We start from the raw sequence: 18,027 nt of genomic DNA on the forward strand, positions 1-18,027 counted from the left end.
TGTGAACAATACACAAAGTGAATTGCTAGCAGATGCTCAGCTTGTAGTTTCTGTAAACCAAAAATAAAATCCTAAGCCTCCAAAACAACTGAATGTGTTCCCAGACGAAACCGAGGGTCAAGCTCCTTATTCTCTCAGCCTGATAACAAGATGCAGATGAACTGGGAAAGAAGAGTGTTTTTATTTCTGTAACAGGGTGCAGGGAGAAGGCTTGGAAATTATCATCAGACCAACTCAAAATTACAAACTTTTCCAGAGCTTATATACCTTCTTAGCTATATGTCTACGTGTAAGTGCGCATCCATCTAAAGACATAAATGATTAACTTATTCTAATCTATAACTAAGGTCTGAGTCCTGAAGAACTTCCTCTGGAACTTCAGTAAATTTACTCAATCTAAATGGGTCCCGGTGTTGTGGTGATTACCCTTATCTTGTCTCCTACTAAAGCATGGAGGTTTGGGGAGTTGCTTCAGACCCCCAATAAACTTGTTTGTGGAGGCCTGGGGAGTTTCTTCAGACACCCAATAAAACTTGTTTAATCCTAAATGGGTCCTTTTAAGAATTCCTTCATTATCTTGTCATGCTTTAAGGCCCAGGAAAGGCTTAGGCAAAACTCTTGGTGGGCTTTTGTTACATCCCAGCCTTTGTATAAGGGCACTGGCTCTTTCAGCTTTTAGTATCTAACCTAACCACTCAGTCAGTGCTGAGACAGTTGTTATGGTGGCCTGCCTGTTCAGCCGTTAGGGAGACCTCGCTTGCCACAAATAGACATCCTCTTGGCCAAGGAGACCACAGAGAAACCTGAAAAACTGAATTCCCAGCCATGACAGGAAGGGAGGTCAGACACACCTCATTACCCTCCCTCCCTTTTGGAGCTTAAGCACAACTGACCGGTATTAAGGTTAAAATAGAGAACACAAAACTGACAAAACAGACTGTGGCAATTAGATACCAGATTATAACCCAGACCTGAGGCCATGCAAGATAAGGGTTAAGTCACATCCTACAAACCATACAATTTTGTTAGACTTGTTTTTTAATTAACCTGGTATAATGTGGCTTTCCAACCTGACTCTGGTATAGCATCGCATGACAGATAGTAGACCTGGAAGGAAATAAAAATATTTTATCTCAAAACATATTTCTTTGACACATTTGAAATGACCCTGCAAAGCCGTCTTTTGTGGGGAAAATTTGCATCTGTAGAGAACCTTCAATAATGTAGCCAGGCCTTCCCTTTCTAAGCATTTCCTGGATCTATAGAGATTAAGAGTTTGACAACTTTTAAAGTCTAAAAAGAGACATTTACCATTTATTCTCTCTGAAGGTTGCTACCTAAGAGGCTTCATCTACATCACAAGAACCCTGGCCTTCAAGACCCCACTTATCTTAAGTATTTCTTTCTACTGACTTCAAATCTTTAGACAAAGTTTAACTCTTTCAACCAATTGCGAATCAGAAAAATCTTTAAATTCAACTATAACATGTATGTCCCGTCTTCAAGATATCCTACCTTTTTGGGGGCTGTATCAACATATACCTTCCATGTACTGATTTATGTCTTTGCCTGTAATTCCTGCCTTCCTAAAATGTATAAAAACAAACTGTAACCTGACCACCTCAGGCACACGTTCTCTGGACCTCCAGAGACTTTTCCCCAGGCCATGGTTACTCATACTGGCTCAAAATAGTCCTCTTTAAAATATTTTATAGGATTTAGTTTTTTCCATTAATACTTTATTATCTAGCAAACTCTGATGAGCATTCCTGAAAGAAACAAAGAGTGGGTAGTTACTATGCTCTATACAGCAATTCTTCTTCAGACTTACTTTCATACATGTCCCTTTGAAGAGACCACTAAACAGGCTTTGTGTGAGCAACATGGCTGTTTATTTCACCTGGGTGCAGGCGGGCTGAGTCCGAAAAGAGAGTCAGCAAAGGGAGATAAGGGTGGGGCCGTTTTATAGGATTTGGGTAGGTAAAGGAAAATTACAGTCAAAGGGGGTTTGTTCTCTGGCGGGCAGGAGTGGGGGTCGCAAGGTGCTCACTGGGGGTGCTTTTTGAGCCAGGATGAGCCAGGAAAAGGACTTTCACAAGGTAATGTCATCACTTAAGGCAAGGACCGGCCATTTACACTTCTTTTGTGGTGGAATGTCATCAGTTAAGGTGGGGCAGGGCGTATTCACTTCTTTTGTGATTCTTCAGTTACTTCAGGCCATCTGGGCATATACAGTGGAAGTCACAGGGGATGCGATGGCTTGGCTTGGGCTCAGAGGCCTGACATTCCTGCCTTCTTATATTAATAAGAAAAATAAAACAAAATAGTGTTGAAGTGTTGGGGTGGCGAAAATTTTTGAGGGGTGGTATGGAGAGAGAATGGGCGATGTTTCTCAGGGCTGCTTCGAGCAGGATTAGGGGCGGCATGGGAACCTAGAGTGGGAGAGATTAAGCTGAAGGGAGGTCTTGTGGTAAGGGGTGATATTGTGGGGATGTTAGAAGAAACATTTGTTGTATAGAATGATTGGTGATGGCCTGGATACGGTTTTGGATGAATTGAGAAACTAAATGGAATAACAGAAGGAGAAAAACAGGTATAAAAGGTCTAAGAATTGGGACGACTCAGGATATCTGATTAGAGAGTGCCTAAGGAGATTCAGCATAGTCCTGCCAGCAAATATTATTTATTTACTTGAAGAGTTAAGAGTGGCAGTTTGGGGATAGCACCAGGAGATATCAGCTGTGATGGCTTGGAAAAACAGTGTAAACCAGCAGTGTAAACAAGAGCAGGGCATGTATGAGTAGTTGAGAACGGTGAATAGGAGTATGACTAGACAGAAGATAGTAGGGATGACAAGATTTTTGGGGGGCACAGTCTAAGTTGGTCTGGTGTCTGGAATGAGACTGGGGCCTAATAAAAAGGAGCGTCTATACAGGAGCTCAAATGGGCTGTACCCTGTAGCATTCCGAGGACAGGCCTGAATTCTGAGAAGGGCAAGTGGTAAAAGTATTGTCCAGTCCTTTTTAGGTTGGTGGCTGAGCTTGGTGAGGTGTGTTTTTAAAAGACCTTTAGTCCATTCTACTTTTCTTGAAGACGGAGGACCATAAGGGATATAAAGGTTTCACTGAATACTAAGAGCCTGAAAAACTGCTTGGCTGATTTGACTAATAAAGGCTCGTCTGTTATCAGACTGTATTGAGGTGGGAAGGCTAAACTGAGGAATTATGTCTGACAGAAGGCAAGAAATGACTGAGGAGGCCTTCTCAGACCCTGTAGGAAAGGCCTCTACCTATCCAGTGAAAGTATCTACCCAGACTAAGAGGTATTTTAGTTATCTGACTCAGGGCATGTTGAGTAAAGCTAATTTGCCAGTTCTGGGTGAGGCTAATCCTCGAGCTTGATGTGTAGGGAAGGGAGGGGGCCTGAATAATCCCTGAGGAGTAGTAGAATAGCAGATGGAACACTGAGAAGTTATTTCCTTGAGGATAGATTTCCACGATGGAAAGGAAATGAGAGGTTCTAAGAGGCGGGCTAGTGGCTTGTACTATAGCATAGCCTGCCTTTGCTGGTATGTGGCGATTAGGCCTGGTGGAACCGCCATCAATAAATCAAGCGTGATCAGGGTGAGGAACAGGAAAGAAGGAAATTTGGGGAAATGGGGTGAATGTCAGGTGGATCAGAGAGATACAGTCATGGGGGTCAGGTGTGGTATCAGGAATAATGTGGGAGGCCGGATTGAAGTGTGGGCCAGGAACAACGGTAATTGTGGGAGACTCAGCAAAGAGTGAGTATAGCTGAAGGAGCCAGGAAGCAGAAAGTATATGCATCAGGTATGAGGAAGAAAATAGATTTTGGAAGTTATGAGAACTGTAGAGAGTGAGTTGAGCATAGTTTGTGATTTTGAGGGCCTCTAAAAGTATTAAAGCAGCGGCAGCCGCTGCATGCAGACATGAGGGCTAGGCTAAAACAGTAAGGTCAAGTTGTTTGGACAGAAAGGCTACAGGGTGTGGTCCTGGCTCTTGTGTAAGAATTCTGACCGTGCTAACCATGCCTAGGAAGGAAAGGAGTTGTTGTTTTGTAGAAGGTGCTGGGGTTTGAGAGATCAGTCAGACACGATTGGCAGGGAGAACACGTGTGTTTTTATGAGAATTATGCCAAGATAGGTAACAGATGAGGAAGAAATTTGGGCTTGATTGAAGTAATGGGGGCTGTCTGTGAAGCTTTGCAGCAGTACAGCCTAGGTAATTTGCTGAGCTTGATGGGTGTCAGGGTCAGTCCAAGTGAAAGTGAAGAGAGGCTGGGATTAAGGGTGCAAAGGAATAGTAAAGAAAGCATGTTTGAGATCTAGAACAGAATAATGGGTTATAGAGGCAGGTATTGAGGATAGGAGAGTATATGGGTTTGGCAGCACGGGGTGGATAGGCAAAACAATTTGGTTGATAAGGCACAGATCCTGAACTAACTTGTAAGGCTTGTCTGGTTTTAGGACAGGTAAAATGGGGGAATTGTAAGGAGAGTTTATAGGCTTTAAAAGGTCATGCTGTAGCAGGTGAGTGATAACAGGCTTTAATCTTTTTAAAGCGTGCTGCGGGATGGGATATTGGCATTGAGTGGGGTAAGGGTGATTAGGTTTTAATGAGATGGTAAGGGGTGCATGATCGGTCGCCAAGGAGAGAGTAGAGGTATCTTATACTTGTGGGTTAAGGTGGGGGGATACAAGAGGAGGACACAAAGGAGGTCTTGGATTGGGAAGAAGGGCGGCAATGAGATATAGCTGTAGTCCAGGAATAGTCAGGGAAGCATATAATTTAGTTAAAGTGTCTCAGCCTAATAAGGGAACTGGGCAGGTGGGGATAACTAAAAAGGAGTGCTTAAAAGAGTATTGTCTAAGTTGGCACCAGAGTTGGGGAGTTTTAAGAGGTTTAGAAGCCTGGCCGTCAATACCTACAACAGTTATGGAGGCGAGGGAAACCGGCCCTTGAAAAGAAGGTAATGTGGAGTGGGTAGCCTCCGTATTGATTAAGAAGGGGATGGGCTTACCTTCCACTGTGAGAGTTACTGGAAGCTCGGCATCCGTGATGGTCTAAGGGGCTTCCGAGGTGATCAGGCAGCGTCAGTCTTCAGCCGCTAAGCTGAGAAGATCTGGGAAGGAGTCAGTCAGAGAGCCTTGGGCCAGAGTTCCAGGGGCTCTGGGAGTGGCTGCCAGGTGAGTTGAACAGTCCGATTTTCAGTGGGGTCCCACACAGATGTCACGTGTCTTAGGAGGAATCCCGGGCTGCAGGCATTCCTTGGCCCGGTGGCCAGATTTCCGGCAAGTGTAGCAAGCTCCTGTGGGAGGAGGTTCTGGAGGAACGCCTGGCCGCTGCAGTTCAGGCGTTTGGAAGTTCTTGTGTGCTGGAGATGTGGCTGGGGTTTGTCTCACAGTGGAGGCAAGGAGGAATTGCAACTTTTTTCTATTATTGTACACCTTGAAGGTGAGGTTAATTAAATCCTGTTGTGGGGTTTGAGGGCCGGAATTTAATTTTTGGAGTTTTATTTAATGTCGGGAGCAGATTGGGTAATAAAAGGTATTTTGAGAATAAGACGGCCTTTTGACTTTTTAGGGTCTAGGGCTGTAAAGTGTCTCAGGGTTGCTGCCAAACAAGTCATGAACTGGGCTGTATTTTTATATTTGATGAAAAAGCCTAAACACTATCTGATTTGGGATAAAGAAAAAGGAGCATTAACCTTGACTATGCCTTTGGCTCCAGCAACCTTTTTAAGAGTAAATTGCTGGGCAGGTGGGGGAGGGCTAGTCACGGAATGAAACTGTAAGCTGGACCAGGTGTGAGGAGGGGAGGCGATAAAAAGATTATAGGGTGGAGGAGCGGAGGCTGAGGAAGAATTGGGACCTAGCTTGGCCTGGCAAGGAGGGGAGAGGTCAGATGGCTCTGTAGAAAAGGAAGATTAGAAAGACTCAGCAACACTTGGGGTTGGGACTGAGGGGACACGCGGGAGGGAAAGAAGGAAGATTTGGGACGAGTTGCACTGGGCACAGAGACTAGGAAGGGACTGATGTGTAAAAGAATGCCTGGACGTCAGGCACTTCAGACCGTTTGCCTATTTTATCACAAGAATTATTTAGATCTTGCAGGATGGAAAAATTCAAAGTGCCATTTTCTGGCTATTTGGAACTACTGTCGAGTTTGTATTGGTGTCAAGTGGCATTGCAGAAGAAAATAAGGCATTTAGGTTTTAGGTCAGGTGTGAGTTGAAGAGGTTTTAAGTTTTTGAGAACACAGGCCAAGGGAGTAGAAGGAGGAATGGAGGGTGGAAGATTGCCTATAGTGAAGGAAGCAAGCCTAGAGAAAAGAGAGACTAGAGAAATGGAGGGAAGGGGTTCGGGGTTCTTATCTTCCAGAAAAGTGGGAAAAGGGGTTGGGGCACAGAGATAAGAGATCGGGGTGCGGAAATAAGGGATGGGGCACAGAAATAAGGGGTCGGGGCACAGAAATAAGGGATTGGGGCGCAGAGATACAAGGTTGGGGTGCAGAAATAAGGGATTGGGGGTTCTTGCCCCCTAGAAAAGCGGGACTTGCCACTAAGGGTGAAGGAGAAGGGGTTGAGGGGTACTTGCCCCTCCCCCAGAAAAGCGGGACTTGCCGCTAAGGGTGAAGGAGAAGGGGTTGAGGGGTACTTGCCCCTGCCCCAGGAAAGCAGAGAAGGGGTAGAGACAAGGAGAGAAGGGATTGGGGTACTTGCCCCTTCCCCAGAAAAGCGGGACTTGACGCTAAGGGTGAAGGACCAAGGCAGGCATCCCTGCATGGTCTGACACCTTTGAAACGTGGGTGAATAATCAGGGAGGCGTCCCTGCAATGATTAAACACCAAGGGAAGGCTGCCTTCCCAGTCCGTGACCGGCGCCGGAGTTTTGGGTCCACAGATAAAATGTATCTCCTTTGTCTCTCCCAGAAAATGAAAGGAATTGAAATTAAGAGAAGGGAGAGATTGAAGAGTAGAAAGAAGAAAGTGGTTGAGGGACAGTGAGAGAGGTTGGAGAAGAGAGTAAGAAGAGGCCGCTTACCTGATTTAAAATTGGTGAGATGTTCCTTGGGCTGGTCGGTCTGAGGACCTGAGGTTGTAGGTGGATCTTTCTCACGGAGCAAAGAACAGGACAGGGGATTGATCTCCCAAGGGAGGTCCCCCGATCCAAGTCACGACACCAAATTTCATGCGTGTCCGTGTGAAGAGACCACTAAACAGGCTTTTTGTGAGCAACATGGCTATTTATTTCACCTGGGTGCAGGTGGGCTGAGTCCGAAAAGAGAGTCAGTGAAGGGGGATAAGGGTGGGGCCGTTTTATAGGATTTGGGTAGGTAAAGGAAAATTACAGTCAAAGGGGGTTTGTTCTCTGGCGCACAGGAGTGGGGGTCGCAAGGTGCTCAGTGGGGGTGCTTTTTGAGCCAGGATGAGCCAGGAAAAGGACTTTCACAAGGTAATGTCATCACTTAAGGCAAGGACCGGCCATTTGCACTTCTTTTGTGGTGGAATATCATCAGTTAAGGTGGGGCAGGGCATATTCACTTCTTTTGTGATTCTTCAGTTACTTCAGGCCATCTGGGCGTATACGTGCAAGTCACAGGGGATGCGATGGCTTGGCTTGGGCTCGGAGGCCTGACACTTACGGCAGACCACAAGACAGAAAGTTAGCGATTACTCAAAAGTCAATGATACTGTGGAATACCTAAAAGTAAATGAACCATGTTCAGGTCTTTGTTCACTTTGGATTGTCTCTTCTGCACTAGAATTACAACTCAAACAGAAACCAAGGATATGAAAACAGATCCCTTCTTCATTGTACCCCCAAAGTTTATATTCATTCTTCCAATTTATGTTGTAATTAAATTTCGGGTAATATAACTCTACAGATAATCATACCAGCTTTTCCTTTTTCATTAAAACAGTGCCATCTTTACAGGTAAAGGTAGGGTATTTATATACATATATGTACCTTGATTTTTAATTCAGAAGCAACCTCATCAGTAATGCATACTTTCTGTTTTCTTTATTGCTAGTTTGCCAAGCAAAGGCATACTTTGGTATAGGCTACTGAGAAAGAGTCAAGTGGGGAAACAGAACAATTAGCACATTTCCATGCCCCGAATAGGTTCTAGTAAGGTAAGTCAAGGTGGATTGCCTGCTTTGTAGCACTCACTATAAGTACTGTCCACTGGTTTCCTTAACTTATTATACTATAAATAATGACAATGATTTTAAATTCAAAATGTTAGCCTAAAAAGAAGTTTCATTATTATAGTTTAATTTTCCAGATTTTTTGTCTACTACTGTTAAAAGTAAGTTGTTGCAGAGTTTATTTTTTTGTTTTGACCCTATATAGCACAAATTTCTATAAAAATGCCGTTTGTTAACCCAGATGAAATCATTTCAACAGCAGCACTTGTCTTTTCATAATGTGACTTAGGTACGTTTGAATATGTAATTGGTCTATGCTAAAAAAAAAAAAAAAGAAAGAAATTGTAATCAAAATGGTTGGCATTTTTTTTTTTTTTTTTTTTTAGAACAGAATAAAAAGGGAAGAGGGGAACAAGGCCCTCAGGTACTGAGGGCAATTGTCAGGACTACAGTTAAGGAATGGAATATGGTTATAGCTTGGGGTTGTGGATAGGGAAAAACTTGGGTTTTTCTCTTCTACTACCCTCTCACCAATCAGTACTTCTAGACACCAAAATGTGTGGGGTTTTTTTTTCCCCACACTGACCAATTATCCAGCACTAGCTGGGTGTCCTATAATTAAACTCGATTCTGACACTATGTAGCTAGAGAGAATATCAGACCCCACAGGTTAAGGGCTCAGTCCCACAACCACTTTGGTTGAAGGTGGATGAAGATGGAAGAAAATAAACTCCACTGATGATCACCCCCACAAGGACACTGAGTTAACAACTATCCACAAAGAAAAAACACCTTTATAAGAACCAAAAATCAGGTAAGCACTCACAGTACCTGGTTTTAACTTCATATTACTGAAAGAGGCACTGAATAGATAGAAATAAAAACAGTCCTGAATCACTGAACCACCCCTCCCCTACTCCTGGCACTGGCGGCCTGGTGTGGAGATTATCTCTGGGTGCTGGGGGAGAAAGAACACAGCAATTGTGAGGCATTGAACTCATTGCTGTTGTGTTAGAGCAGAAAGAAAAACCAGACCAAACTCAGCTGATGCCCAGCCACATAGGAAGGATTTAAACCAACCCTAGCCAGAGGGGAATGACTGATCCCAACGGTTTAAACTTGAGGGCCCACAAACCTTGCCACTGAGGGACGAAGTAGTCTCCATGTCTAAGTAAATTTGAAAGACAGTCTAGGCCATAAGGACTGCAACTCTTAGGTGAGTTCTAGGGCTGAACTAGGCCAAGAAGCAGTGAGCTGGGAGGGCAAGCATCATACTGAGACACCAGCTGGGGCAGCAAAAGGAGTCCTGGCATCACCCCTCCCCTAAACTCAGGCTGCACAGGTCACAGCTCCAAAAGACACCACTTCCTTCCACTTGAAGAGAGGAGAGAGAAGAGTTGGGAGGACTTTTTGTCCTGCATCTTGGGTACTAGCTCAGCCACAGCAGGATAGGGCATCAATCAGAGTCTTGAGACTCCTGTTCCAGGACCTAGCTCCCAGGCAGCATTCCTAGACACACCCTGGGCCAGAAGGGAAATATTGCCTTGAAGGAGAGGACCCAGTCCTTCCAGCATTCATCACCTGATAACTGAAGAACTCTTAAGGCCCCAATAATCAGCAACGATACCCAGGAACTACATGAAAGGCTTTGGTGAGCCTCTGAGAGTTGCTGGCTTCAGGTACCAACACTGCCAGAGGAGAGTAGAGTACCAAACAGGCTCTTGGGGTCCCCAATCCCAGGATGTGACTCTTGGATGGCATTTCTTGACATACACTGGGCTAGAGGGGAGACCACTGCCATGAAGGGAAATTCCCAGACAAGGCAACATTAACCATAAGCTGACTTAAGAGACGTTGGGTCTTAAGGGCTTATCAGTGGTAGTCTGGCAGTACTCTTCACGGCCAGCTGTGGTGGCAGCTACAGTGTGAGGCTCTCTGCCTTTGGAAAGGGGAGGGAAGAGTGGAAAGAATCGTGTGTTGTGATTTGAGTGCCAGCTCAGCCACAATAGAATTGAACACCAGATAGACTCCTAAGGTTTTTAATTCTAGTCTTTGACTCTCAGACCGCACTTCTAGAATCACCCAGGACCTAAGGGACCTAGATGCTCTGAAGAGAAGGATGCAGGCCTGACTGGCTTTGCTGCCAACTGGTTGTAGAGCCCCAGGGCCTTGAGTGCACCTAGGCAGTAGCCAGGGAGTGGTTACAGCAGGTCTTGGATGTGACCCAGTGTTGTGCTGGCTTCAGGTCTGACTCAGTGCAGTCATAGTTGTGGTGGTTACAGGAGAGCTTCTGTTACTTCACCTAGAGCTTTTGGTGGCTCAGAACAGAGAGAAAGGCTCTATATATTTGGGATAAAGTAGGAGAAGAAAGTAAGACTCTCTACCTGGTAATCCAAAGAATTCTGCCAGATCTTGCCCAAGATATCAAGGCAGTACCTCTATGAGTTTGCAAGAATCACAGCATTACTGGGATTGGGGTTTCCCCTAAAGCAGAAACAGCTCAGATCAAAACATCCAAGTCCTTTAAAATATCTGGAAACCTTCCCAGGAAGGATGGGACAAATAAGCCCAGACAGTGAAGACTAAAATAAATACCTAAGTCTTCAACATCCAGACACTGAAGAACATCAACGAGCATCAGTACCATCAAGGGAAACGGAGAAATGGAGATATGTGACCTTTCAGACAATTAATTCAAAATAGCTATGATGAGAAAACTCAAAGAAATTCTTCATTTTTTTTTTTTTTTTTGAGACAGAGTCTCGCTCTGTTGCCCAGGCTGGAGTGCAGTGGTGCGGTCTTGGCTCACTGCAACCTCCACCTCCCAGGTTCAAGTGATTCTCCTGCCTCAGCCTCCTGAGTAGCTGGGATTACAGGTGCCTGCCACCACACCTGACTAATTTTTTTGTATCTTTAGTAGAGACGGGGTTTCACCATGTTGGCCAGGCTGCTCTCGGACTCCTGACCTTGTGATCTGCCCGCCTCAGCTTTCCAAAGCACTGGGATTACAGGCATAAGCCACCGCACCTGGCTGAGAAATTCAAGATAACACAGAGAAGGAATGCAGAATTCTATCAGATCAATGAAGCACACATACAAGATCTAGAAAACAGCTCCAAATGAAAATCTGAGAGTTATTGGCCTTAATTAGGAGATAGAGAAAGAGATAGGGGTAGAAAGTTTATTCAAAGGGATAATAACAGGTAACTTACAAATCTAGAGAAAGATATCAATATCCAAGTATGTGAAGGTTCTCAAACACCAAGCATATTTTAACCAAAAAAGATTACCTCGAAGCATTTAATGCTCAAATGCCCAAAGATCAAGGATAAAGGATGGATTCTAAAAGCAGCAAAATAATAATAATAAAAATCATACAAGGGAGCTCCAAAAAGTTTGGCAACAGACTTTTCAGTGGAAGCCCCACAAGCCAGGAGAGAGTGATACTGTGTGTGTGTATATATATATATATATATATATATAGAGAGAGAGAGAGAGAGAGAGAGAGAGAGAGAGGGAAAGAGCTGAAGGAAAAAAACTTTTACCCTAGAATAGTATATCCAGCAAAAAATATTCATCAAACATGAAAAGTTTGGCAACAGACTTTTCAGTGGAAGCCCCACAAGCCAGGAGAGAGTGATACTGTGTGTATATATATATATATATATATATATATATATAGAGAGAGAGAGAGAGAGAGAGAGAGAGAGAGGGAAAGAGCTGAAGGAAAAAAACTTTTACCCTAGAATAGTATATCCAGCAAAAAATATTCATCAAACATGAAGGAGAAATACTTTCCCAGACAAACAAAAACTGAGAGACTTTATCAATCCCAGAACTGTCCTACAATAAATGCTAAAGGGAGTATTTCAATCACAAATAAAAGGATATTAATGAGTAATGAGTTATCACTTGAAGTTATAAAACTTAGTGGTAATAGGCTGGGCACGGTGGCTCACACCTGTAATCCCAGCACTTTGGGAGGCCGAGGCAGGCGGATCACGAGGTCAGGAGATCGAGACCATCCTGGCTAACATGGTGAAACCCTGTCTCTACTAAAAAATAGAAAAAATTAGCTGGGCGTGGTGGCGGGTGCCTGTAGTCCCAGCTACTTGGGAGGCTGAGGCAGGAGAATGGCAAGAACCTGGGAGGCGGAGCTTGCAGTGAGCCGAGATCACACCACTGCACTCCAGCCTGGGCGACAGAGGGAGACTCCATCTCAAAACAAAAAAACAAAAAAACAAAACAAAACCCCAAAAAACAAAAAAATAAAAAAACAAAAACTTACTGGTAGTAGTAAACACAGAGAGAAACAGAATATTATAACACTGTAATTGTGGTGTGTAAACTACTCTTATCCTAAGTAGAAAGACTAAATGACAAGCCAATCAAAAATAATAACTAAAACAATTTTTCAAGACATAGTATAATCGTATATAAATAGAAACAAAAAGTTAAAAAGTGGGTAGACTAAGTTAAAATGTAGAGTTTTTATTAGTGTTCTTTGTGCTTGTTTGTATGTTTATGCAAACAGTTTTAAGTTGCTATCAGGGTAAAATAATTGGTTATATGATAGGATTTTCAAGCCTCATGGTAATCTGAAACCAAAAACATACAAATGGATACACAAAAAATAAAAAGCAAGAAACTGCATCATACCACCAAAGAAAATCATCTTAACTAGAGGAAGACAGGAAGGAAAGAAAGAAGAGAAGACCACAAAACAATGAGAAAACAAATTTAAAAAATTTAAAAAAATACAGAAATAAGTCCTTACTTATCAATAATAATATTGAATGTAAATTGACCAAACTCTCTAATCAAAAGACATAGAGTGGCTCAATGGATGAAATAATAAGACCCATTGATCTGTTACCTACAAGAAACTCCCTTCTCCTATAAAGACGCACATACACTAAAAATAAAGGCATAGAAAAAGATATTCTATGCCAATGCAAACTAAAAAAGCAGGAGTCACTGTACTTATAGCAAACAAAATAGATTTAAAGAAAAAACTATAAGAAGAAACAAAAAAGATCACTATATAATGATAGTCAATTCAGTAAAAGAATATAACATTTAGAAATATGTATGAACCCAACACTAGACCATCTAGATCAATAAAGCAAATATTATTGAGTTGAAGAGAGAGATTAACTCTAATAAAATAATAGCTGGAGATTTCAACATTCCAGTTTCAGAAATGGACAAATCTTTCACACAGAAATTCAACAAAGACTCATCAGACTTAATCTGCACTATAGACCAAATGAATCTAATAGATATTCTCAGAACATTTCATCCAAGAGCTGCAGAATACATATTCTTTTCTGCAGCACATGAATCATTCTCAAGGATAGACCATATGTTATGTCACAAAGAAAATCTTAAAATATTCAAAAAAATTGAAATAGTATCAAGCATCTTCTCTGACTGCAATGGAATAAAACTAGAACCTAATAATGAAAGGAATTTTAGAAAGTATACAAATACTTGGCAATTAAACAATATGACCACTGAATCAGTGAGGAAATTAAGAAAAAATCTGAAAAATTACTTGGAACAAATGACAATGGAAACACAACCTACCAAAACCTATGGGATATAGCAAAGGCAGTACAAAGAGACCCATTTACAGCTATAAGTGCCTACATCAAAAAAGAAGACAAACTTCAAATAAACAATGTAATAATGCATCTTAAAGAACTAGAAAAGCAAGAGCAAACCAAACCTAAATTTGGTAGGAGAAAAGACATAGTAAAGATCAAAACAGAAATAAATAAAATTGAAATGGGAAAATAAATACAAAAGATCAATGAAACAAAGAATTTTTTTTTTTTTTTTTTTTTTTTAGTTAAACAAAGTTGACAAACCTTTAGCCAGACTAAGGAAAAAGAGAGCAGATCCATATAAAGAAAATCAGAGATGAAGACAGAGACATTTGAACTGCTACTGCAGAAATCCAAAGGATCATTAGTGGCTATTATGAGAAACTATATGCCAATAAACTGGAAAATTTAGAAGAAATGGACAATTTCCTATATATATACAACCTACCAAAATTGAACCAGAAAAAAACTTCAAAACATGAGCAGACCAATAACAAATAATGAGATCAAGGTTGTAATGAAGAGTATCTCAGTAAATAAAAGCCTGGTACATGATGGCTTCATTGCTGAATTCTACCAAACATTTACAGCAGAACTAATACCAATCATCCTCAAGTTATTCTAAAAAATAAAGGAGAAAGAAATACTTCAAAACTACTTCTATGAGTGAGGCCAGTATCACCCTCATACCAAAAACCAGACAAAGATACATTAACAAAAGAAAGCTACAGGCCAATATCTCTAGTGAATATTGATGCAAAAATTCTCAACAAAATACTAGCAAACTAAATTCAACAATACATTAGAAAGAACATTCATCATGACCAACTGGGATTTATCGCTTTGATGCCAGGATGGTTCAACATATACAAATCAATCAATGTGACACATTGTATTAACAGAATGGAAGATTATAACCATATGATCATTTCAATTGTTGCTGAAAAAGCATTTGATAAAATTCAATGTCGCTTCATGTTAAAAACCCTGAAAAAACTGGGTGTAAAAGGAACATACCTCAACATAATAAGAGCCATGCATGACAGACCCACAGCTAGTATCACACTGAATAGGGGAAAACTGAAAGCATTTCCTCTAGGATCTAAAATACAAGACAACCACTTTCACCACCACCACTTTCACTACTGTAATTCAACATAGTATTGGAAGTCTTAGCTACAGCAATCATGTAAGAGAAAGATATAAAGGACATTTGTGATGGTTACTATTGAATGTCAACTTGATTGGATTAAAGGATACAAAGTGTTGCTCCTGAGTGTGTCTGTGAGGGTGTTGCCAAAGGAGATTAACATTTGAGTCAGTGGACTGGGAAAGGCAGACCCACCCTCAATCTGGGTCTGCACAGTCTAGTCAACTGCCAGGAAGCCAGAAGAAAAGCAGATGGAACGTGAAAAGACAGTACTGTCTTAGTCTCCCAGGCTGCATCTTTCTCCCATGCTGGATGCTTCCTGCCCTTGAACATCAAACTCCAGGTTCTTCAGCTTTGGGACTTGGACTGGCATCCTTGCTCCTCAGCTTGCAGACGGCCTATTGTGGGACCTCACCTTGTGATCCTGTCAGTCAATACTCCTTAATAAACTCCCCTTTATATATACATCTATCCTATTAGTTCTGTCTCTCTAGAGAACTCTGACTAATACAACATCCAAATTAGAAAAGAAGTCAAAGTATCTCTGTTTGCAGAAGATGTGATCTTATATTTGAAAAGCCTAAAGGCTCCACAAGAAAACTATTGAAAATGATAAAAAAAAATTCAGTAATGTTGCCAGATACAAAACCAACATACAAAAATCAGTAGCATTTATATATATCAACAGTGAACAATGTGAAAAAGAAATAAAAAGTAATCCCAGTTACAATAGCCACACATAAAATTAAATACCTAGGAACTAACTTAACCAGAAAAGTGAAAAACCTCTGTAATGAAAACTATAAAACACTGGTGAAAGAAATTGAAGAGTACACCAAAAAAATGGAAATACATTCCATGTTCATAGATTTGCAAAATCAATGTTGTTAAAATGTCCATTCTACCCAAAGCAATCTACAGATTCAATGCAGTCCCTATCAGAGTACAAACAGTATTCTTCACAGAATTAGAAAAAAACAATCCTAGAATTTATATGGAACACTGAAGACCCAGAATAGCCAAAGCTATCCCAAGCAAAAAGAAAAAAAATAGAGGAATTGCATGAGCTGACTTCAAATTATACTACAGAGATATAGTAAAAAAACAAAAAACAAGGTACTGACATAAAAACAGATACATTCATCAATGGAACAGAATAGAGAACTCAGAAACGAATCCACACACCTGCAGCAAACTCATGGTCCACAAATTTGCCAAGAACATACTCTTGGGAAAAGACAGTATCTTCAAAGAGTGGTGGTGGGAAAACTAGGTATCCACATGCAGAAGAATGATACTAGACCATTATCTCTTGCCTTGGGCAAAGTCAAACCAAATAGGTTAGATACTTAAATCTAAGACCTCAAATCATGAAACTACATTGAGAAAACTCTCAAGACATTGATCTGGGCAAAAATTTCTTGAGCAATACCTCCACAAACACAGGAAACTAAAGCAAAAATGGACAAATGGATCACGTCAAGTTACGAAGCTTCTGCACAGCAAAGGATACAATCAACAAAGTGAAGAGACAACTCACAGAATGGGAGAAAATATTTGCAAACTACCCCTGTGTCAAGTGATTAATAACCATAATATATAAGGAACTTAAACTACTATATGGGAAAAAAATCTCAAAATCTGATCAAAAGATGGGCAAAATGTTTGAATAGACATTTCTCAAAAGAAGACGTACAAATGGCAACCATGTATATGGTAAGGTGCTCAACATCATTGATCATCACTGAAATTCAAATCAAAACTACTATGAGATCTCATCTTACCCCAGTTAAAATAGCTTATATCCAAAAGACAGGCAATAACAAATGCTGGCAAGGATATGGAGAAAAGGGAACCCTCGTACACTGTTGGTGGGAATGTAAATTAGTACAGCCATTATAAAGAACATTTAGGAGGTTCCTCAAAAAAGCTAAAAATTGAGCTACCGTATGATCCAACAATCCCAATGCTGGGTATGTACCCAAAAGAAAGGAAATCAGTGTATCAACAAGATACTTGCTCTCCCATGTTTAATGTAGCACTACCCACAATAGCCAAGATTTGGAAGCAACAGATGAATGAATAAAGAAAATGTGGTACATATACACAAAGGAGTACTATTCAGTTATAAGAAAGAATGAGATCCTGTCATTTGCAACAACATGAATGGAACTGGAGATCATTATTTTAAGTGAAATAAGCCCGGAACAGAAAAATAAACATCACATGTTTTCACTTATTTGTGGGATCTAAATATCAAAACAATTGAATTAATGGACAGAGAGAGTAGAAGGATGGTTACTGGATGCTGGGAAGTGTAGTGGTGGAGGGGCTGGGAGAGATGGGTATATTTAATGGGTTCAGAAAAGTAGAAAGAATGAATAAGACCGACTATTTGATAGCACAACAGGGTGACTATATTCAATAATATCTGTACATTTTAAAATAACTTAAAGAGTATAATTGGATTGTTTGCGACTCAATGGAAAAATGCATGAGGGATGGATACCCCATTCTTCATGATGTGCTTATTTCACTTTCCATGCTTGTATCAATACATCTCATGTACCCCATAAGTGTATATACCTACTGTGTACCCACAGAAATTTAAAAAAAAAATTAAAACCACCCCTACTTCAAAAGTCAATTACAGCTGGGTGCGGTGGCTCACGCCCATAATCTCAGCACTTTGGGAAGCTGAGGTGGGTGGATCACCTGAGGTCAGGAGTTTGAGACCAGCCTTACCAACATGGTGAAACTTCATCTCTACTAAAAATACCAAAATTAGCTGGGCGTGGTGGCGTGCGCCTGTAATCCCAGCTACCCAGCAGGCTGAGGCAGGAGAATTGCTTGAACCTGGGAGGTGGAGGTTGCAGTGAACTGAGATTGCACCATTGTACTCCAGCCTGGGCAACAAGAGTGAAACTGTCTCAAAAAACAAAGAAACAAACAAGCAAAATATCACAAACCCATGTTGTCACCTGTGCTTTTGACCAACTGGCTATAAATTAGAGTTTACTCCTGGCACTCCTCAGGTTTGATTATTTGCTACAGAGGCTCACAGAACTCAGGAAAGCACTTTATTATTACTCATTTA

General features: G+C 41.3%; 4 annotated features.

Annotated features, from left to right (window-relative positions):
- Positions 301–1,144: an enhancer, noted in NCBI's record as "NANOG-H3K27ac hESC enhancer chrX:97777711-97778554 (GRCh37/hg19 assembly coordinates)". NCBI's record gives its function as "activates a minimal SCP1, AML or CMV promoter by ChIP-STARR-seq in naive H9 embryonic stem cells {active_cell/tissue: H9 hESC(naive)}" and the evidence as "EXISTENCE:reporter gene assay evidence [ECO:0000049][PMID:30033119]".
- Positions 1,145–1,988: an enhancer, noted in NCBI's record as "OCT4-NANOG-H3K27ac hESC enhancer chrX:97778555-97779398 (GRCh37/hg19 assembly coordinates)". NCBI's record gives its function as "activates a minimal SCP1, AML or CMV promoter by ChIP-STARR-seq in naive and primed H9 embryonic stem cells {active_cell/tissue: H9 hESC(naive and primed)}" and the evidence as "EXISTENCE:reporter gene assay evidence [ECO:0000049][PMID:30033119]".
- Positions 1,989–2,832: an enhancer, noted in NCBI's record as "OCT4-NANOG-H3K27ac hESC enhancer chrX:97779399-97780242 (GRCh37/hg19 assembly coordinates)". NCBI's record gives its function as "activates a minimal SCP1, AML or CMV promoter by ChIP-STARR-seq in naive and primed H9 embryonic stem cells {active_cell/tissue: H9 hESC(naive and primed)}" and the evidence as "EXISTENCE:reporter gene assay evidence [ECO:0000049][PMID:30033119]".
- Positions 7,238–7,763: an enhancer, noted in NCBI's record as "OCT4-NANOG hESC enhancer chrX:97784648-97785173 (GRCh37/hg19 assembly coordinates)". NCBI's record gives its function as "activates a minimal SCP1, AML or CMV promoter by ChIP-STARR-seq in primed H9 embryonic stem cells {active_cell/tissue: H9 hESC(primed)}" and the evidence as "EXISTENCE:reporter gene assay evidence [ECO:0000049][PMID:30033119]".

This window comes from Homo sapiens, chromosome X (genome assembly GCF_000001405.40).
Source record: "Homo sapiens chromosome X, GRCh38.p14 Primary Assembly".
NCBI lineage: Eukaryota > Metazoa > Chordata > Mammalia > Primates > Hominidae > Homo > Homo sapiens.